The 20,307-nt window shown below is 32.7% G+C and overlaps 2 long non-coding RNA genes across 2 annotated transcripts in view; both read right to left on the bottom strand.

Moving 5' to 3' along the window:
• The window catches only part of LOC107984035 (uncharacterized), a 123,240-nt gene that overhangs the window by 32,334 nt on the left and 70,599 nt on the right, over nucleotides 1-20,307 (bottom strand). The gene's annotated exons all lie outside the window — the stretch shown is intronic.
• Nucleotides 1,640-20,307, bottom strand: part of LOC124900272 (uncharacterized) — a 90,204-nt gene continuing 71,536 nt past the window's right edge. The window contains exon 2 of the long non-coding RNA XR_007061513.1: nucleotides 1,640-20,307. This exon is cut by the window's right edge and continues 24,611 nt beyond it. This is a non-coding gene — a long non-coding RNA (uncharacterized LOC124900272).

The raw sequence follows: 20,307 nt of genomic DNA, 5'->3' as shown, positions 1-20,307 counted from the left end.
TAGAAGGCTCAACTGCCATGAATATAAATCAAATTCATCTGCATCCCCTATATCAGACTAAATGTGTTTGTTTCTCAGTATTCTGCTATGTTCCTTGTATTAATTTTAATAGAATCAAAACTGAGATATGGAAGAGGATGTTATATATTGAACACCTTTTCTTCCATCTAGCATACCCAATATTTGCCGCATGGGCCAGAAATATGAGAATTAGAAATGCGTCTTTATTTGGGGTCCTTACTTCATTCACAATTCTAGATAGTCTTCCAGTTATGACAAAGTCTAAGAATTTTATTTTTAAATAAATTATTATCATATTTTTCTGTTACCATTTTTTGGTTGGTTTTCCATGCAGTTTGTGCCTACTTCCAGGAGGAAGACACCTACACACATTTACTCTTCTCTGCTTTCTTTACAAATTTGAATATGAAAAAGAGAGCCAGGAACTGCCAAAAGCTGGTTACTCCAAGACCCTAGGCATTCTGTCAAAATCTAACTTGGATGATCATGTAAAATACTTATCATTTTATTAATATCAGTATGTTCATTCAAATGGTAACAAGATTTTCACTTGATTTCTAAATCACTGATCTTAAGTGAAAAATATCAAAATAGAGGACTTCACAAATATTATCATTTAGAACATCCTCACTTTAAACAACCTAAAGTTATTTTTAATGTTGAATCAATCATACTCTGACCTTCTCCATAGGAAAGGAAAATGTAAATATCCCAGACAGCAGAGAGCAAACTGTCATAAAAATAAAACTGTACTTTCAAATAGCTGTAGTCCACAGCACAGCTCTAACCCAAATTGTCATTTCAACTGCTTCACATTATTAGAAAATACTTACCTTCTAGCTTTGAACATGAAAGAAAAGTACTCTTAGTCTATCAGTTTCCCTAACTAGGAGATTCATGTATTTGTTGGGGTCATATAAAGAAACTGATAGTGCAATTTAATAAGGATAATGCAGAGAGGATTTGGAGACTCTTTGCAAAGCTGTTGAAGGGATGAGAAAGAACACAAGAGACTGCAGTAACCTTTGGTTAGAGTGATTTTTATCACCCCTAGTTTGAAAGGGCCAGTGGCAAAGCAAGTTTACTAACTTTAGGATAAAGTAGACTCATCAGGAAAAGAGCAACCACCTAAGCTTAAGGGACAAAGCCAATCACCCCTGGGAAGCCAGTGTTAAAAATACTTGATCTTGCTCTCTGCTTTCCTGAGAATACAAATCATTCACTTTAACTCATTGAATTCACTCAGCAGTCAGAAGAAAAGGAAGCCTCTTGTTGGAATTCATACTAAGAAGATCAGAAAGTGTAGTGGAAAAGAGAGGACTAAAACTGCAGGTGCAAGTAGAAGTCAGTGACCAAAAAGAAGTGTATTTGTATTGTTCATTTGACCTCATTTATTTTAGTATGCAAGCGTATGCTTAAAAATATTTCAGCCTTCTTTTTACTATATATGCAATTCGTCATTATTTATTGAGAGATTATATATTCATCATTACTTCAATGATCTCATTTTTAGCTTTCCTCTTCTTTATTAATGGATGCAGTAACTTCTGGCATTCCCCTGAGAATATTAATTCTACTTATTTGGAAGTACTCTTTTTATTGCTCTCTGCTGTCTTTCTTTTGTATTTGATACATCTTTCATTTGCTTTATGTTATTTTAATCTTACCCTATGCACTTACAATGATGGCACTTCTCCGAATGACTGTTGATTTTCTTCCTTTCTTTCTTTTTTTCATGTTGTCTACATTTTTTTTTCAAGGTGAGTTTCTGCTAGACTGTTATTACTGAGCAATCCTTTGGTGGAGAAGGAGGTTCATGCTGCTACAGGCCACAATTTGCCTCATTTGCAGTCAGATCAGGCTTTTTGTCAGAGAGAGGACATGCCCATTAGGCAATATGTATTCAGATACTTCCAACTGATCGTTGCCTTTTCTTTCTGATTCAAATTCCCATTCTCAATATATTTACCTAATGTATGCCTCCATTTTGCCTTTTTAAGCAAGACTAAAAAATCAATACCCTTGAAAAAAATTGATTAATTTGGCTAACTTAAATTTAAAGTCTTCACTTCTAGCAAAATAGTTTTACTACATATTTTTTACTATGAGAAAATATGTAAACTATGTATATGAAAGCAAATCTATAAATAATTTAGAAAAATAAAAATATTTCAATAGAAAAGTGGGAAAATGTAAAAATAGGTACTTACTGGAAGAATCAAGAGATTAGTTCTAAAGACCTTAATTATTTATTTAAACTAATTTAATTAAAATTTTAAAAATAATTAAATTTTTCAATAATCAAGTAAAACAAATTAAACTTAAACAATAGAACCTTTTATTTTGAGATGCAAAAGCATGAATCAAAGACATCTGTAAAGCTTAAACGTATTCAGATTGTAAAGCTAACCCATGTAAACCAAACTAGGCCAGGAATTAGACTATATTAGCGCCCCAGACTCCCCCAAGTGTCCCTTCCTAAAAGAAGCTCCTCTCACCCTAAGTTTTATGTATAATTTTTTTGCTGTGCTTCAAAAAGGTATAGCATGTATGCATCTCTGAACAACATACCTTAGTGTTTTTTGGCCTGCTTTGATAATTACTATGAAATCCTCTTTCTGTATTATTTTGTGCCACACTCCTTTTGTTCAACATATGTTTATGAGTGACAGCCCTGTTGTTGCAAGCAGTTGTAATTTATTTATTTTCACTGCTCTATAATATTTGATTGTTTATATAGATGAGAATTTTCTATTTTATTCCTTATATACATTTGTGTTATTTTAAAGTTTGGTTGCTTAGGAGCAAAGTCAATATGAAAATACTTGGACATATGCTCTCAGAATTATATGCATAAGTTTATCTACAACATATAACTATCCAAGGAATTTTAGGAGCAAACATATGTGGATACTTATTTAATCACAGACTAACTTTTTTTCAAATCAGTTGTATCAATTTATACTTCTTCCTGTGGTACCTAAGATTTCATAAAATTATACTTTCAATCCATGGGTTTAGCAAAATAATTCAAAGTTTAATAATATCAAATTGACATCTGTAATTTAAGACCACTTTAGATGAAAATTTTTGATATCTATTAAATTTTACAACGTGAATAACTTATAAGCACAATTTTCCTTAACTCATCATCTGTCTTATGAAATACTAACATATGTGCAATAAAATGCAATAGGATGTCAATTACAGCTTTTTAAAAATAGTCAAAAGCCCATTAAATAGATTAAATGTCCACCAATAGAGAAATGGCTAAGTAAATATGACATATCTAAGAGTTAAAGAAATGATAAAGATTAACGTGTGTTGAATCACTAAGATTTCCAATACATATTAAATTGAAAAATAAAAACACATTATTGTGGTTAAAAATACACAAAGTATTAGATTATCAAATCAGACTCACATGCATCGGAGATCTTATGCAAACTTAACTAATAATTTTATGGATAAAAATTATTGTGAGGTACAGGTGGAGCAAGGTAAGGTCAGATAGCACTGTGAGAATCCCACATCAGGTATGCTTTGAACAAGGATAATAGATGATGATTCTGAGTAAGATGTGCGGTCATCTCACTTACACAGAGGAGATATTTAGATCACAAAATATCTCATTTTGTCTTTAGATGGTCCAGGAAACTACGCCCCATGAGTCAAAGAGATTTAGGTTTTATTATAAACAACCCTAGAAAAGAAATCACAGCACATGCATTCTTCTAAAAGCATTCTGTAGGTAAGATATTCCTTCCTGGAAACTTCTTAGTTTGTTTGCCAAGAGGTTAGCCAGTTATATGGTTACCAAAAAACCTGCCTTCTTTGTCTCCAGCATGTTTCTTATTAAAGAGAATGAATGAATTGCAGAACTATTGTTTGCACATTTACTTTTAAATGGTTTATCAGTAAAATATGTGAGAATACATTTTTAAAATAAACTTATGTGATTGCTTTGGAAAATGTCTGGAAATACGCAAACCACACTGATAATAATGGCCTTCTGGGGATGAACCAACACACAATAGATTTACTGGTAATCGTTTGATTTTTTCAAAAGTACTACATTCCTGTATAATTTGCATGATTAAAATGTATTTAATATAATTTCCACCTGTGATAATTTTCTTGTGTATAAATAGGACATTGCTCTTGCTATTAGCAGCTATATACTGTAATATTTATAGTTGAACCACAGGGTTTAGCAGACTTCAGCCCATACACTGAACCTGTCCTATTGCCTGTTTTTGTACAACCTGCAGCTAAGAATGTTTTTATATTTTTTGAATAATACAAAAATATCAACAGAATAATAGTTCGTAAAACAAAATTAACAAAATTTAACATTTGTGTCTATGAATAAAGTTGATAATATTGTAACCACAGCCATTTGTTTGCATTTTGTCTACTTTCTTGTTACAACAGGGTTTAGCAGTTGTGACAGAAACTTCTACAATGTTCCCAAAGCCTAAAATATTTACTGTCTTACCCTTTATAGAAATAAATACTTTGCTGACACTGTGACTCATAATAATGTTTGCAACTACTTTTTGAATAAGCTCAAAAGTTTACAGACACACACTCCTAAAATATTTGTTATATTGCTCTTTATAGAAATAATTTGCTTATCCCTGTGAATTATAGTGATGTATACAACTGATTTTTGAATAAGTTAAAAAATTTAGCTGGGGCGGTGGCTCACACCTGTAATCCCAGCACTTTGGGAGGCTGAGGCGGGCAGATCACCTGAGGTCGGGAGTTCAAGACCAGCCTGACCAATGTGGAGAAACCCAGTCTCTACTAAAAATACAAAATTAGCTGGGTGTGGTGGCGCATGCCTGTAATCTCAGCTACTCGGGAGGCTGAGGCAGGAGAATCACTTGAACCTGGGAGGCGGAGGTTACAGTGAGCCGAGATTGCACCATTGCACTCCAGCCTGGGCAACAAGAGCGAAACTCAGTCTCAAAAAAAAAAAAAACTTTACACACACACACAAACATGGATTATGGATTGAGTTGCATGTATTTGAATATTAGTTTTGTTATTCTTGCAACTTATTAGGGGGTTTGACACTTTTTCTAAATTACAATTGGGTGAAATTTTTGCAATTGATAAATTGCTAGATAACATAATCTAGCTCATATGATAACTTTAGATGTTAAATCAGTAATAAACCTTATGAAGATCTATGTTTCTAGGAAATAATTACTTCAACAAGAAGGGAAAGTAAAGACAGAAGGTAAAACAAAATATAAGACGAAATAAAATAAAGATGGGAATTGAATGCCATAGAAGTGTGGAAGTTGGAGGGAAAGTTTCTAAAATTATTTGGATAAAAAGGAAGCCATATATTTTACTGAATCTTCTAGATGGGTTTTAATTCTGTATCCTTTCATACTCACGTACTATGCCATTTTTTTCAACTTTTCATTCCACTTGCACTTCCTAACTTATGATGAATTTACCTATATAGAGTCGTTTTATCATTTAGACTAAAATTGTATTTATTTGAAGGTAAGAACGGTCATATACTTCTTAGTTGTTTTCAGAATTGAAAACATGGTTGAGGCCAGGCACGGTGTCTCTCATCTGTAATCCTAGCACTTTGAGAGGCCGAGGCGGGGGGACTACGAGATCAGGAGTTCAATACCAGCCTGACCAACATGGAGAAACGCGGTCTCTACTAAAATTACAAAATTAGCTGGGTATGGTAGTGCACACCTGTAATCCCAGCTATTTGGGAGGCTGAGTAAGGAGAATCGCTTGAACCCTGGAGGCAGAGGTTGCAGTGAGCCGAGATCACGCCATTGCACTCCAGCCTAGGCAACAAGAGCAAAACTCATCTCAAAAGAAAAAAAAAAAAAAAGAAAAAAGAAAACATGGTTGAAAGTCAATATCCATGTGATAAATTGAGTTAGAAAGCCAATGAGAGCTTAGCTAATATAAAGGTGATGGAATTCACTATCAAAACTTCTCAGAGACTTAGAAAAAATATGGAAAATTAGTGAAAATGTAAGAGAATGAGGCTCGAAATCAAGATAATTAAACTGCAAACCTTAAGAAGGCAGGAAAGATATCCTTTACTTAGTTTGTCTTGTCCAACTAATGGTTAGTTGAATGCCATGCACATAACACATCCCTCTGAGTACTTATTGAATAAATGTAGAATGTCATTCTGGAATAAATTGAGGCAAGAAACTAGAGGGATAGCAGTGTGAAAAGTGAGATTAATTTATTTGGTATAGAGTCAGTAAATTTAAGTGGGCCATTTGAAACAACAAGCTTAAAAGAAAACCAAATAAGCATTTTCAATGCATAGAAATGCAACCATTTTTCTCCTTCTGTACTTTATCCATTCAAACATTGCTTGAAAAAAAATATAACTTTCAGTCTTGCTTTTTTATCTCCACCAAACTCAGATAATTTTGGTCGTTGATGACCTTTCTAAGCTAATTCCTATTTTAGAATGCTATGGACGAATGAATCTCAAAACTTCTTTTAACCAATTTATTTTATTCCATTTCCTAAGGAATAGAAACTTTTTACCTCCAACCCAGGGGAGCTATGAAACAAACTCCCCATTTATTTCCAATCCAAACACATTTGATAAAACAGGCAGAGGAATTTTTTATCAGATCTGTATTTTAAATTTTCATGACTGTTGTTCAAGAGTTTCCATTCTTGTTCATAAATATGTAGAGGCTTAAAATTCTTTTCTGAAAAATAAACTGCTACTTTAAATGATTTTAACTCATTTTTATAATACTTTTTTTATTCTCTGATGATCTCTTGCTGTTTTTCTTTCTCTAGAAATGTTCTAAGAATAAATTAGCTGATATAGTAAGAAAGGTTCACAAAATGAGTCCTTCACCTATACAGCACCTCTTCTAAATAACAGAGAGATTACAAATCCAATGTATTTAAACTCTGAGTTGTCTATATGTGTAGTGTTATAAAATGTAGCTGTCAGTTTTAACAGCTTTTCCCCCTGAGATTTCAGTGGCTAGCTAATGATCTTTTTTAAGAATTAGGACATTTTCTAGATAGCGAAATGGCAGGAAAACATATCAAATACATATTTTTCCATTATAGTATTCTGAGGACTGTAAAGTCTTACTCAATGTATATCACTTTTAATTTTTAGGATACATAGAAATATTTGCTAGTAGAAATAAATGGCAAGTGTTTACTTGAAGATGGTTTAGAAAGATGCTTTTCTCTTTTAATTTGAATTGCTACTGTAAATGTCATCACATGTATTTCAGTATTGTCTATGCCAACTTTGTACCTGAAAAACAGTATTATGAATTGGGCATTATATTCCATCTTCATAAATTAAAAAAGAAACATAATAACTAGCGAAGTGGAATGAGGAAGGTGTGGGGAGACACAGAAATTTTCAAAAGTAGTAACAAATTCAAGCATGTGTTAGCTTAATATATCATAACTTAAATGATTTAAATTAGGTATATGTTTATACCAATAAGTTTTAAATTCTTAATTCTTACCTCATCAAGTACCAACAAAGAATGCCCTTCCATATTAATACACTTTGGGAATTAAGATAAAGTATATGTAATTAAATCATCAAACTCCTTTTGCTGTTTAGCAGGTAGTTTGATATAATAAGAGAAATTGTGTTCTCATTATATATTTGTCACAATGAATGAATGTAAAACCTTAATCAGGCTATCTGACTTCTTTTAGTGACATTACCCTTTTTGCAACCAACACATCAAATTAGTAATATTTATCCTACAAAAATAATGTGAAGATAAATGAGATAAGATATATAATAGTCACAAATACTTATTGAATAAAGCTGTTTTTATTTATATATTTCTATGTACTTACTAGATATGTTCTTATTAAATATTTTATTATGGTATATGTCAAGTCTTTTACTTCTTTTTTTATACTTAGTGTATTATAGAACTCACCATCCAATAAAATTGTAATACAATTTTCTTGATTTACTAATCCTAGGTGAAAAAAAAAAATATATATATATATATATGTTGTTTTCTGTTTGAATTATGCTTAGTTGATGGCATTTTCAATAATCTCTCTGATTCTTCCTTTTCCTGTTTAAACTACTCTCATTCTCATTGTGGCCTAGAGTTCTTTTTCCCTAATATTGCCTTCAGAAGGCTAAGTTTCTAATATAATAACAATTTGAGTCTTTACCACTTCTCTCTAGAATCGTGATTTAGACTAGGTTATTAGAGTAAACAATATGATTCCAAATTTTGTCCTTTTTTTAATGGGCTAGCATCCAAAAAGCATAAGAATTCTGGGGGGAAATGACATAATTAAGCTAGATTATTTTAATTTAAATTCAGAATTAAAAATGATTTTCAATAGCTTCTTTGTCTTAATTTAATAAGCTTTTGTTGAACATTGATTATATTTTGAATTCTATTTTTTCTTTTGTTTTTAGTTGGCACATAATTATACGTATTTATGGGATACAGAGTGATATTTTGATACATGTATACAATATGAAATATTCTAATCAGAGTAATTAGCATACTATCACCTTGTACATTTGTCATTTCCTTGTGATGTGAATATTCAGAATTCTATCTGGTAGGTTTTTAAAAAAATTCACTAAATTATTGTTAACTTAATTCACCCTGCAGTGCTACAGAACGCTAGAGCTATTCCTCCCTTCTAGCTACAACTTTGTTACAAAGTTAACTTTGCTTACCAACCTCTTTCCATCCTCTTCTTATTCCCATCCTTTCCAGCCTCTGATAACTACAATTCTACTTGTTACTTTTATAAGCCCATTTTTAGCTCCCACATATAAGTGAGAACATGTGGTTTTTCTCTCTCTGTGCCTGTCTTATTTCACTTAACATAATGTCCTCCAGGCTCATCTACGTTGTAACTAATAACATGATTTCAATTCATTACAAAACTTAAAAGGATACTCAACAGTGCCAAACATTCTATTTTAGTTTCCCAATGCATTCACTCCCACAGCATTCATAACAATAACCTTCTACAAAGTTACCACATGTCTTATGCTAAATTGATGAGATCTCCCAATATTAAGTAAATTCTGTCCCTTAGCTCTCCCTCTCATTTTAGTATTATCATTCTCATTAATGAATAATTCCCTTTTTGTTAAAAGTTTACATTGACCTACCGTTGTCCTTCAGTTATCAACTTACTTTGTATTCTTTCTTTGAAAGAAATCAATCAAACAATAGACAGTCTCCTTCAATATTTCCTGTACTGTCTTCAACCCACTTAGCTGAGTACTTTCTTTTTTCTCTACTTACTCACTTTTTCCCCTGAGTGTTCTCAAGCATTTTCATGAGTTTAAAGGCCAGTTACATGATAGCATCTCAGAATATTTCCAATTTTGGTATCTTCTCTGAGTTAGAGCTTTGCATAGTCATCTACTTACTTAATATCAAATGTGGATTGTTTTATAGACAACTGAAATTCATAATGTTTTAAGTAGAGTTTTGTTATTTTCTCTGCTTCCCAGTTTGTGTGTGTATGCTTGTTTGTTTACTTCAGCTGGTGTTCCCATTGATTTTATCTTATCTAATACACCAAAACCCTATCAGTAGCTCTTTTCTTCAAACTTGCACATATATTAAATATGTATTTCATTATTTTGAACAAGGTCTCCACCTTCTTGTCCTTTCACTTTAATAGTTTTCTAATTCATTTCCTTGTGTTTATTCTTGTCCCTGTAAAAATTATTCTTGGTTTAAGAGGCAGAGATATATATGTATTATAAACACAGGGAAACAAATTAGATATAAACCAATTACTATAAACCAATGTAATAATAATAATATATATTACATTTTTTTCTATTTTTTTATTTCTTCTTTTTCTTTTTTATTTTTTGTAATGTAAGCAAGATTCTTTCCCTCCTCTGCCTTAAATCCTTTAGTTACTTGTGGAGTACAATTACAAATCTCCAGGATGCTAAAGCTCTGCTCTGCTGTCTACAACCACAGGCACCATTCAAGACCCTCACTCCTAATGAGACAGGGCTCTTTCCACTCTTGAAACACAGTTTTTCCCCAAGTCAGGGTTTTGCACAAGGTAACATCCTGTCTTTGAAGCTTCATAGTTTGGCTTTTTAATCAAATGGTTCCTTTTCCATATTTAAGTCATCACTTTACATTTCATTTTCTTGGAGAGGTCTTCGCATGACTCCAAGCTATCACCAGTTATGTGCTATCGTAGAACATGGTTTATCCAGAAATAGTGATAACTTTCATCACTATTGATCATTCTTTGGTTTTCTTTACATTTATTTTATATCTTAAACACTGTAATATAAAAGACCTCAGGGATGGACCATGAATTTCATATTTAGCACAATACTTCAGAAGATCCATCCTATCCTTTTTCTTTTTTATTCATTTTATTTTAAAATTTTCATTTTGAACTACTTTAAAGCTTACAAAAATATATTTAAAAAAATCAAGAATTCCTATATATTCTTCACCCAGCTTCTTGACTGCTAACACCATATCTAAGAGTACAGTTACTCACATTAGGAAATTGATACAGAATTAGTTACTTACCTACAGACCTTATTTACATATTTTGTTCATGGTTCCACTAATGTTTTTTAACTAGGATCAAAATCAGGGTCACATATTGCATTTATCTGCTACATTTCTTTAGTTTTCTTTATTCGGGTGCGGAGGCTCATGCCTGTAATCCCAGCACTTTGGGAGGCCGAGGCGGGCGGATCATGAGAACAGGAGATGGAGACCATCCTAGCTAAAACGGTGAAACCCCGTCTCTACTAAAAATACAAAAAATTAGCTGGCGTGGTGGCGGGCACCTGTAGTCCCAGCTACTTGGGAGGCTGAGGCAGGAAAATGGCGTGAACCCAGGCGGCGGAGCTTTCAGTGAGCAGAGATCACGCCTCTGCACTCCAGCCTTGGCAACAGTGCAAGACTCCATCTCAAAAAAAAAAAAAAGTTAAAAAAGAAAATTCAGCTTTTCTTTTTGTCTTTCATGCCCTTGATACTTGTTTTTTGTAGATTATTTTGAAGTTTGATTTTTTTCTAATATTTCTTCATGGTTAAATTCACATAATATATTTTGGCAAGAATGCCACAATGCCGAGGTTGTCCTTCTCAGTGCATCATATCAGGAGGCACATGATATTATTGTGTCCTAATATTGTTGACGTTAACTCTGATCACTTGAATAAGACATTGTCTGCCACATTTCTCCACTTCAAAGTTACCATTTTTAAAATCAGTATTTTGTTGAGAGATACTTGGAGATTATGTAAATATCTTGTTTCTCATAATTGTATCCACTAATTTTAGCAGACTTGTCTGCAACAATTATGTGGTATTTGCCAAGAAATGAGAATCTATTTCCACTATTCTTTCTATATTTATTGATTAGAATTCTACTGTATGGAAAAGCTTTCCTTTGTCCCACTTTTCTTATTTATCCAATTATTTATTTATATTAGTGTGGATTCATGTGTATTTGGTTTAATTAATCTGAATAATCTATTGCCATCATTATTTATTCCCTTGTTCAATTTATCTCAGTTTGGGTCACTGAGAGCCACTTCTAGTTAGCTCCTATGTTCTTTGGCATGTCTCAATCATTAGTTGAGACTTCCTTATTTTCTTAACAACAACAGATGTCTCAGACCCATTTTGTTCTTTCTGCCGCATGCACCTAGAATCAGGCATTGATCCAAGGAGCTCTGTATCCTTTTAAAGAAGAAAAAAGTGAATCCAAGATTTGAATGCTAGATGTGCTGATTGCTATTAAAATGTTATTGCTTCTAGTCTTAGTGGTTAAAATTAAGAAATATACACACATTCAGCCGGGCGCTATGGCTCACACCTGTAATCCCAGCACTTTGGAAGGCTGAGATGGGCGGATTATGAGGTCAGAAGATCAAGACCATCCTGGCTAACACGGTGAAACCCCGTCTCTATTAAAAATACAAAAAAATTAGCTGGGCGTGGTGGCAGGTGCCTGTAGTCCCAGCTACTTGGGAGACTGAGGCAGGAGAATGGCATGAATCCAGGAGGCAGAGCTTGCAGTGAGCCGAGATCGGGCCACTGCACTCCAAGCTGGGCAACAGAGAAAGACTCCATCTCAAAAAAAAAAAAAATATATATATATATATATATATATATATATACACATTCACACACAAACGTGCGTCTAGGTCTATTTATATATCTACACATTCTTTTCAATTTCTATCTAATGTAGAAAAAAAGTAAACTTAAGTATATATTGATAGTTTTGATTCTGATTGAACACCATAAGTGTTATTCTAGTCTCCACTCCCCCTCATTTCTAAATTCTTTTTCTAAAACGGAATCAGTTTTGTTTTAGTTAATATACTTAATATAATTATTTGCTTTTTATTTTTTTTTTTAATTTCAACTTTTAGATTTGAGGATATATGTGAGTGTTTGTTACAGAGTATACTGCATGATGCTGAGGTTTGGGTATGACTGAACCCATCATCCAGGTAGTGAGCATAGAACCCAAGAGGTATTTTCTATGGCACTTTACACATTCTAGAAAACTGGTTGTTAATTAACACAAGCACCTATAATAGTGCCTGATATATTTAGTACTCAAAATATATGTTAAATTAAAAACAAATGTATAAATTAATGGTTGAATATCATAATAATTACTCAAAATGTAACATAATTCCAAAGGAGAAAACTTTTTTCTAAAAAGGCTCTCTCAATTGCTCTTTCTGATTTACTATTTTCCCCAATCTGTAGTTGCTTCATTATTGTTTGGAATTTTGCATTAGTTGTCAATAAACAAAAAATATGGATCATATCACAGCTCTTTCATTGCTTTCATTTCTTGAGATATATGAATGTATGTGATATATTTGATGTCCTGTATTTTATCTTTATTGCTTTTTGATACTTAAGAACATCTAGAAAAGAAGATAAATATTAATCATGTCAGAAATTATCAAAGGTTGATTACAATAAAAATTTCTCTAATGTGATAACCACTCAAAAACTTCCTTCTTCATCAAAACACAGTATTTTTAAAAAAATGCAGTGCTGCATTTTTATTTCACAGAAAATAATCAAATGGTAGCCAGAATATTTTGAACTAGAGTCACATAGGATATTCTAATAATACTGCTTGTGAAAGAAGTATTGAGGAGGTCTTAGGACCAAAGAATATTTGTTTAATAGTGTCAGAATTCATTTTAACACCATAAAAAGGATATGTATTTGTTCAATTTTCACTCACTGCACAAAGAATTAGATAAAAGAAGATTTTCAGTAATAGCATTCATTTTGAGTCTTACCAATCCTTTCAGTTTTGGTATAACAAAAATGCTATTAGCTTTTACTCTGTTGTGTTGAATTTTGATGATTTCTGACAGTCTTCACTGAGATGCTCAAAGAGATGAGACTTGCCAGTCGAAAAACTTAAGATCTCATTAAATTTACCAGCAACATAAAAGCTATTTCTGCCTCTTAACTTTTTGATGTGTTGCCTTTTTCTAATCCTCTTCTCAGGACCTATTTAAAAGACAATAAAAATTTTGTTTTTGTGTGTTGAAAGATTTCTCCATTATCAAGAGAGTAGTCCTTAACTTTAGAATGACTGCATATATAGATATGAAAAATAAGGAAACAATTATTAGGAAAACTAATCAAATATTTTACTAACATTTAGTAATTTTAACAAAATTATTGTGCATTGTATTTTGTAGCATTTATGCAGAGGATATACTAACCTGTTTAAATTTTTAGACAAAAATAGTAGAAAATAGAACATCGTCATTTTCAGGAGCAAGGAAGTAACCTGTGAAAAAGTGAATGCCTTTCTTCAAATAATATGCTAATGAAAGGCTGAGATATTAATGTCTAAATATTATAAAACTTTCATTTTAATATAATGTTTTACTTTATATTTATATTATATTGTATAACAAAGAAATGTGAGTCTTGTTACACCTGAGAACTTGAACTGGCAATCTACATATTGTTGTTGAAACAATTTTAAGTTAAACATACAATGAGAGGGAAAAATGATTCTGTTGCCTCAATTTTAAAAGGAATATTTTGAAGAACTAATTTTCCATATAATAGCTTGTTATGATCTTGCCTTTTAGCCTCCCTGGATAAAGAAATGCATACTTATAATAATTGAAGGAAGACAATTTTCCTTGTTTTCTGCAAATTAGAAATATATTAGGCTATTAAATACATAATTCAAAATATACAGAATAAAGGTATTATAGAACCTAAGAATTATATAAAGAATTATATACATAAAGTAATGAATACATATACAAATAGTATAAAAATACTAAAAATAGTATTTGCTTATTGATTAATTACTATGGGTATTATATAACTCTTAGTTTCTACATTGCTTTTCTATTCTTAGTTATTATAATAGGTATATTATAATTACTAATATGCATAAACTACTTATAGTTTATATGAATGTGTTATATGTACATGTATATTATAATAACTAATACCTATAAACTATTTACAATTATATGTATTATAATAACTAATAAATATAAACTACTTATTGTCAAAACTGTTTTTAACTATTAAAAGATAAAGCACACAGATATGTTTTCTTTACTAGGTATTCCCAGAAGCACTCATAAAACTCGGGGTTTTCACATAGCAGTGATTACAGACTTGCTATTTTTATTATTCCCATTTTATAGATTAAGAGCACAAGACCCATATTAGTGTTATTTAGCCATGTCATAGAGCCAATTCCCAGATATTTTTTCCACTTGTTTTGTCATGAAGAATGAGAAGTAGAATCAGCATCAAGTTTGTGCTAAACAAGTACAATAATAAGAAGCACAGCAAATGCTGACTAGACTGTAAGAATATTTTTGCTTTTAGGCCACCCGAAAAAGATAAGATATATGAGGTGATCAAAGTGAATAATTATATAAACAAGAGGAATTAGAATATGAATAAGCCAGGAAAAATAGGAATAGGCCAAGAAAACACACACACCCATTTCTTATTTAAACCTAAAGGGAGACAAATTCATTCAATCTATACATATTTATTTTGCTACCTCAATAGAGATAAATATCTTCTCTAAGAAAAATCCCACTTTACTTAATATGTATCACATTTACCTAATAAATAACATATTACTAAAACAGAGAGCAACCAGTGTTTTACTCTTTTTTTTTCAGAGATTTTTTGCTCTTGTTGCCCAAGTTGGAGTGCAATGGCATGATCCCAACTCACTGCAACCTCCACCTCCCAGGTTCAAGCAATTCTCCTGCCTCAGCCTGCCAAGCAGCTGGGCTTACAGGCATGCACCAACACGCCTGGCTAATTTTTGTGGTTTTTTTTAGTAGACACGGGATTTCACCATGTCGGTCAGGCTAGTCTCGAACACCTGACCTCAAGTGATCCACCCGCCTCGGCCTCCCAAAGTGCTGGGATTATAGGCATGAGCCTTTGCGCCTGACCTCATTTATTTTCATATAAAATATAGGGTCAAGTATGTTGAGATATTAGTTACGTTGTATTTTGCTCAGTATTGCCTGAGAGTTGGATTATTTTATCATTGTAGAGAATAGCTTCTAGATTATGAGAATATTAAATAAAATAAACTGGAGAGACTCTCAGCAGCAAACTATGGTATGTAAGTTCATATGTAAATATGTATCTATCTATCTATTTATCTATCTAATCTATCCTATCTATCTATCTATCATCTATCTATCCATCTATCTATCTCCTTTTCTTTCATTTATGTCTGGATCTGTACCAAACACCAGGCAGAGGAGTTAGGAGAAGTAACTGAAAAACCCATGGGTGACATCACCAACTAAAACAGGTGACAAATAATCAGCATGAAACCCAGAATACAAGAGTAATTGTCCTAATCATTGGCAGCATAGGGCCAGTACCAGCTGGAGTTAATGGCAAAGATAAAATGAAGATAAAAGGAAGTATTGTAAGATCTTAATATCAATAAACTACAACAAGAAATCATCAATAATGCTCACTCGCAAAAGAAAAATACTTACCCTGAAGAAAAACAATTGGAACAAAATCAAAATTAATCAGAGAATCAGATAATCTGAGACAAGTAAGATAAATTTTAGAAAATAATTTTTAGAAAAAAATAATTTGAAGGTACATAAAATCAAATAGAAGTGGTACAAACTATAGTAAGAGATATAGAGTATAAAAATAAGAGTAAAAAACAGAAATTGAGAGATTAAAAATATCTAAAAATTTTCTAAACATAAAACTTAGGCAAAGAATAGTAATACCCATGTAATGGTTATTTCTAAGAACAAAAATTAAAATAAAAAATAATATTAATTATTTGAGCATGAAGGTAAAAGGATAAGAAGTTTATATTGATAATAGACTTCTTGATAGCAACATTTTATACAGGATGATAATCAAGAAATGGTTTAATGATTATGAAACAGATAACACAGTAGCGAGATGAGATTTTATTCATGCAAACTATGAATCATGTCTAAGGAATGTAGAACTTCATGAATATTTATGATTTTAAAAAACATTGTTCCTGTGATGGCTTTTTTAGAAATGTCCTACCTACTGACAAGAAGACAAACATCATGTGAAGCTTCTGGATAAGGACTAAATATGTTTAATTTTATAATTAAGAGCAAGTAATGGGGATTAAAGTGACAAAACATGATGCTATTAAGTGTGTTAAACATGAAGAAATAATGCAACTCAACAACAAACAGAAAAAAGGAGAAGAAAAAGAAAGTAGACGAATCTTAATGACTATCTCGGGAGTATCTAACTGCCATTAAAAAATATGGAATTAAAGTAAATAAATGTTAAGCAAAAAGAGAGAAGAAAGGAAAGAGAGTTTACTAGAGAACAGTATTACTACTCATTGAAGAAAACAATAGATAGTATTCAAACACACTAGAGGACTAGTATATTTTATTATAATATTATTATAAGATAATAATAAGAATAAACATAGAAACATTTATAAATACCAGATGAGTATATCCCGCGCCTCAAATTAAAGTGTAAATACAGGGCAAGATTTTATATAAATTATTTATATAGCAAAAACTTATATAACAGAACTTAACACCAGCATAACAGGTATATCAAAGACACAAATGGGCTTAACTCACCATTAAATGGCGTACTTTTAGATTGGCTAATGGAGCAGAATCCAATCTATTCTGTGTGCAAGAAACATATTGAACAAGGCAATTCAGAATGGTTTAATGTAAAAGGAAGAGCAAAGATAGATCTTGTATGATAGCAAGATCCTGAAATAGTTGTCAGAATTTTGCTATTGAGACAAGATAGAATTTAAGACAAAATAAATTTAACAGGATAAGGAAGGGAAATTTATTCTACAGAAGGATTCATGCTTCATTCTACATTAAAAATAAAATATATATTAATAACATACACAAAATTACAATTTTCATAAAGCAGAAATAACAGAAGTTGAAAGAAGAAATAGACATTAAAACTGGAGATTTTAACATAGCTTATTAATTGGTAAGTCCTTGAAGAATGCAAATAAGCCTCACTTTTAGTAATTAAAAAAAATTAACACAAATACTGACAAAGACTCTCTCCTTCACCAAACTTTAGTCAGATTTTTGAGCTCTCCTCTCAACTAGATCTTCACCTAGGCCCCTTGCCTAGTCTCCATAGCTCACTTTTAACAAGAATCCTTAAGTCCATATAGAGAGAATCTTGATATCTGATCACCCTGAGCTGCCTTCAGCAAGAATCCTGTTAATTTGGTTTAGCAAGAGTTCCCCTACTTTTGACGTCTCCTCTTAATAATTTTCCATCCACTGACCCCTTCACACTGCTCTTTTGCTATAAATTTCCATGTGTGCTTGTATTTGGAATTGAGCTCATTTCTCTACTAAAGTCTCTTTTCCTGTGTTGTAATAATTTCTGAATAAAATCTTTCTTTACTGCTTTAATTACCCTCTGGCTCTGGTTCTCTTTGACATTACTCTTTGAAGAATCACTTTAGGGGAAAAGAATAAATGCAAGAAGACAAAGTCAGAGACTATTATCCAAATATAGAATGGAGATAATGATATCATACTGAATGGGCAAAAACTGGAAGCATTCCCTTTGAAAACTGGCACAAGACAGGGATGCCCTCTCTCACCACTCATATTCAACATAGCATTGGAAGTTCTGGCCAGGGTAATTAGGCAGGGGAAGGAAATAAAGGGTATTCAATTAGGAAAAGAGGAAGTCAAATTGTCCCTGTTTGCAGACGACATGATTGTATATCTAGAAAACCCCATTGTCTCAGCCCAAAATCTCCTTAAGCTGATAAGCAACTTCAGCAAAGTCTCAGGATACAAAATCAATGTACAAAAATCACAAGCATTCTTATACACCAATAACAGACAGACAGAGAGCCAAATCATGAGTGAACTCCCGTTCACAATTGCTTCAAAGAGAATAAAATACCCAGGAATCCAACTTACAAGGGATGTGAAGGACCTCTTCAAGGAGAACTACAAACCACTGCTCAATGAAATAAAAGAGGATACAAACAAATGGAAGAACATTCCATGCTCATGGGTAGGAAGAATCAATATCGTGAAAATGGCCATACTGCCCAAGGTAATTTACAGATTCAATGCCATCCCCATCAAGCTACCAATGACTTTCTTCACAGAATTGGAAAAAACTACTTTAAAGTTCATATGAAACCAAAAAAGAGCCCGCATTGCCAAGTCAATCCTAAGCCAAAAGAACAAAGCTGGAGGCATCACACTACCTGACTTCAAACTATACTACAAGGCTACAGTAACCAAAACAGCATGGTACTGGTACCAAAACAGACATATAGATCAATGGAACAGAACAGAGACTTCAGAAATAACGCCACATATCTACAACTATCTGATCTTTGACAAACCTGAGAAAAACAAGCATTGGGGAAAGGATTCCCTATTTAATAAATGGTACTGGGAAAACTGGCTAGCCATATGTAGAGAGCTGAAACTGAATCTCTTCCTTACACCTTATACAAAAATTAAATCAAGATGGATTAAAGACTTAAACATTAGACCTAAAACCATAAAAACCCTAGAAGAAAACCTAGGCATTACCATTCAGGACATAGGCATGGGCAAGGACTTCATGTGTAAAACACCAAAAGCAATGGCAACAAAATCCAAAATTGACAAATGGGATCTAATTAAACTAAGGAGCTTCTGCACAGCAAAAGAAACTACCATCAGAGTGAACAGGCAACCTACAGAATGGGAGAAAATTTTCGCAACCTACTCATCTGTCAAAGGGCCAATATCCAGAATCTACAGTGAACTCAAACAAATTTACAAGAAAAAAACAAACAACCCCATCAAAAAGTGGGCAAAGGATATGAACAGACACTTCTCAAAAGAAGACATTTATGCAGCCAAAAAACACATGAAAAAATGTTCACCATCACTGGCCATCAGAGAAATGCAAATCAAAACCACAATGAGATACCATCTCACACCAGTTAGAATGGCAATCATTAAAAAGTCAGGAAACAACAGGTGCTGGAGAGGATGTGGAGAAATAGGGACACTTTTACACTGCTGGTGGGACTGTAAACTAGTTCAACCATTGTGGAAGTCAGTGTGGCGATTCCTCAGGGATCTAGAACTAGAAATACCATTTGACCCAGCCATCCCATTACTGGGTATATACCCAAAGAACTATAAATCATGCTGCTATGAAGACACATGCACACGTATGTTTATTGCGGCACTATTCACAATAGCAAAGACTTGGAACCAACCCAAATGTCCAACAATGATAGACTGGATTAAGAAAATGTGGCACATATACACCATGGAATACTATGCAGCCATAAAAAATGATGAGTTCATGTCCTTTGTAGGGACGTGGATGAAATTGGAAATCATCATTCTCAGTAAACTATCGCAAGAACAAAAAACCAAACACCGCATATTCTCACTTATAGGTGGGAACTGAACAATGAGAACACATGGACACAGGAAGGGGAACATCACACTCTGGGGACTGTTGTGGGGTGGGGGGAGGGGGGAGGGATAGCTTTAGGAGATACACCTAATGCTAATTGATGAGTTAATGGGTGCAGCACACCAGCATGGCACATGTATACATATGTAACTAACCTGTACATTGTGCACATGTACCCTAAAACATAAAGTATAATAATAATAAAAAAAAAGGAATGGAGATAATGATGACGGTGATGTTTTGGATAGTGATTGCAATGGAC

Source organism: Homo sapiens, chromosome 9, assembly GCF_000001405.40.
Source record: "Homo sapiens chromosome 9, GRCh38.p14 Primary Assembly".
Lineage (NCBI taxonomy): Eukaryota > Metazoa > Chordata > Mammalia > Primates > Hominidae > Homo > Homo sapiens.
The sequence above is the reverse complement of the archived record's forward strand: the minus strand, read 5'-3'. Positions and strand labels throughout refer to the sequence as shown.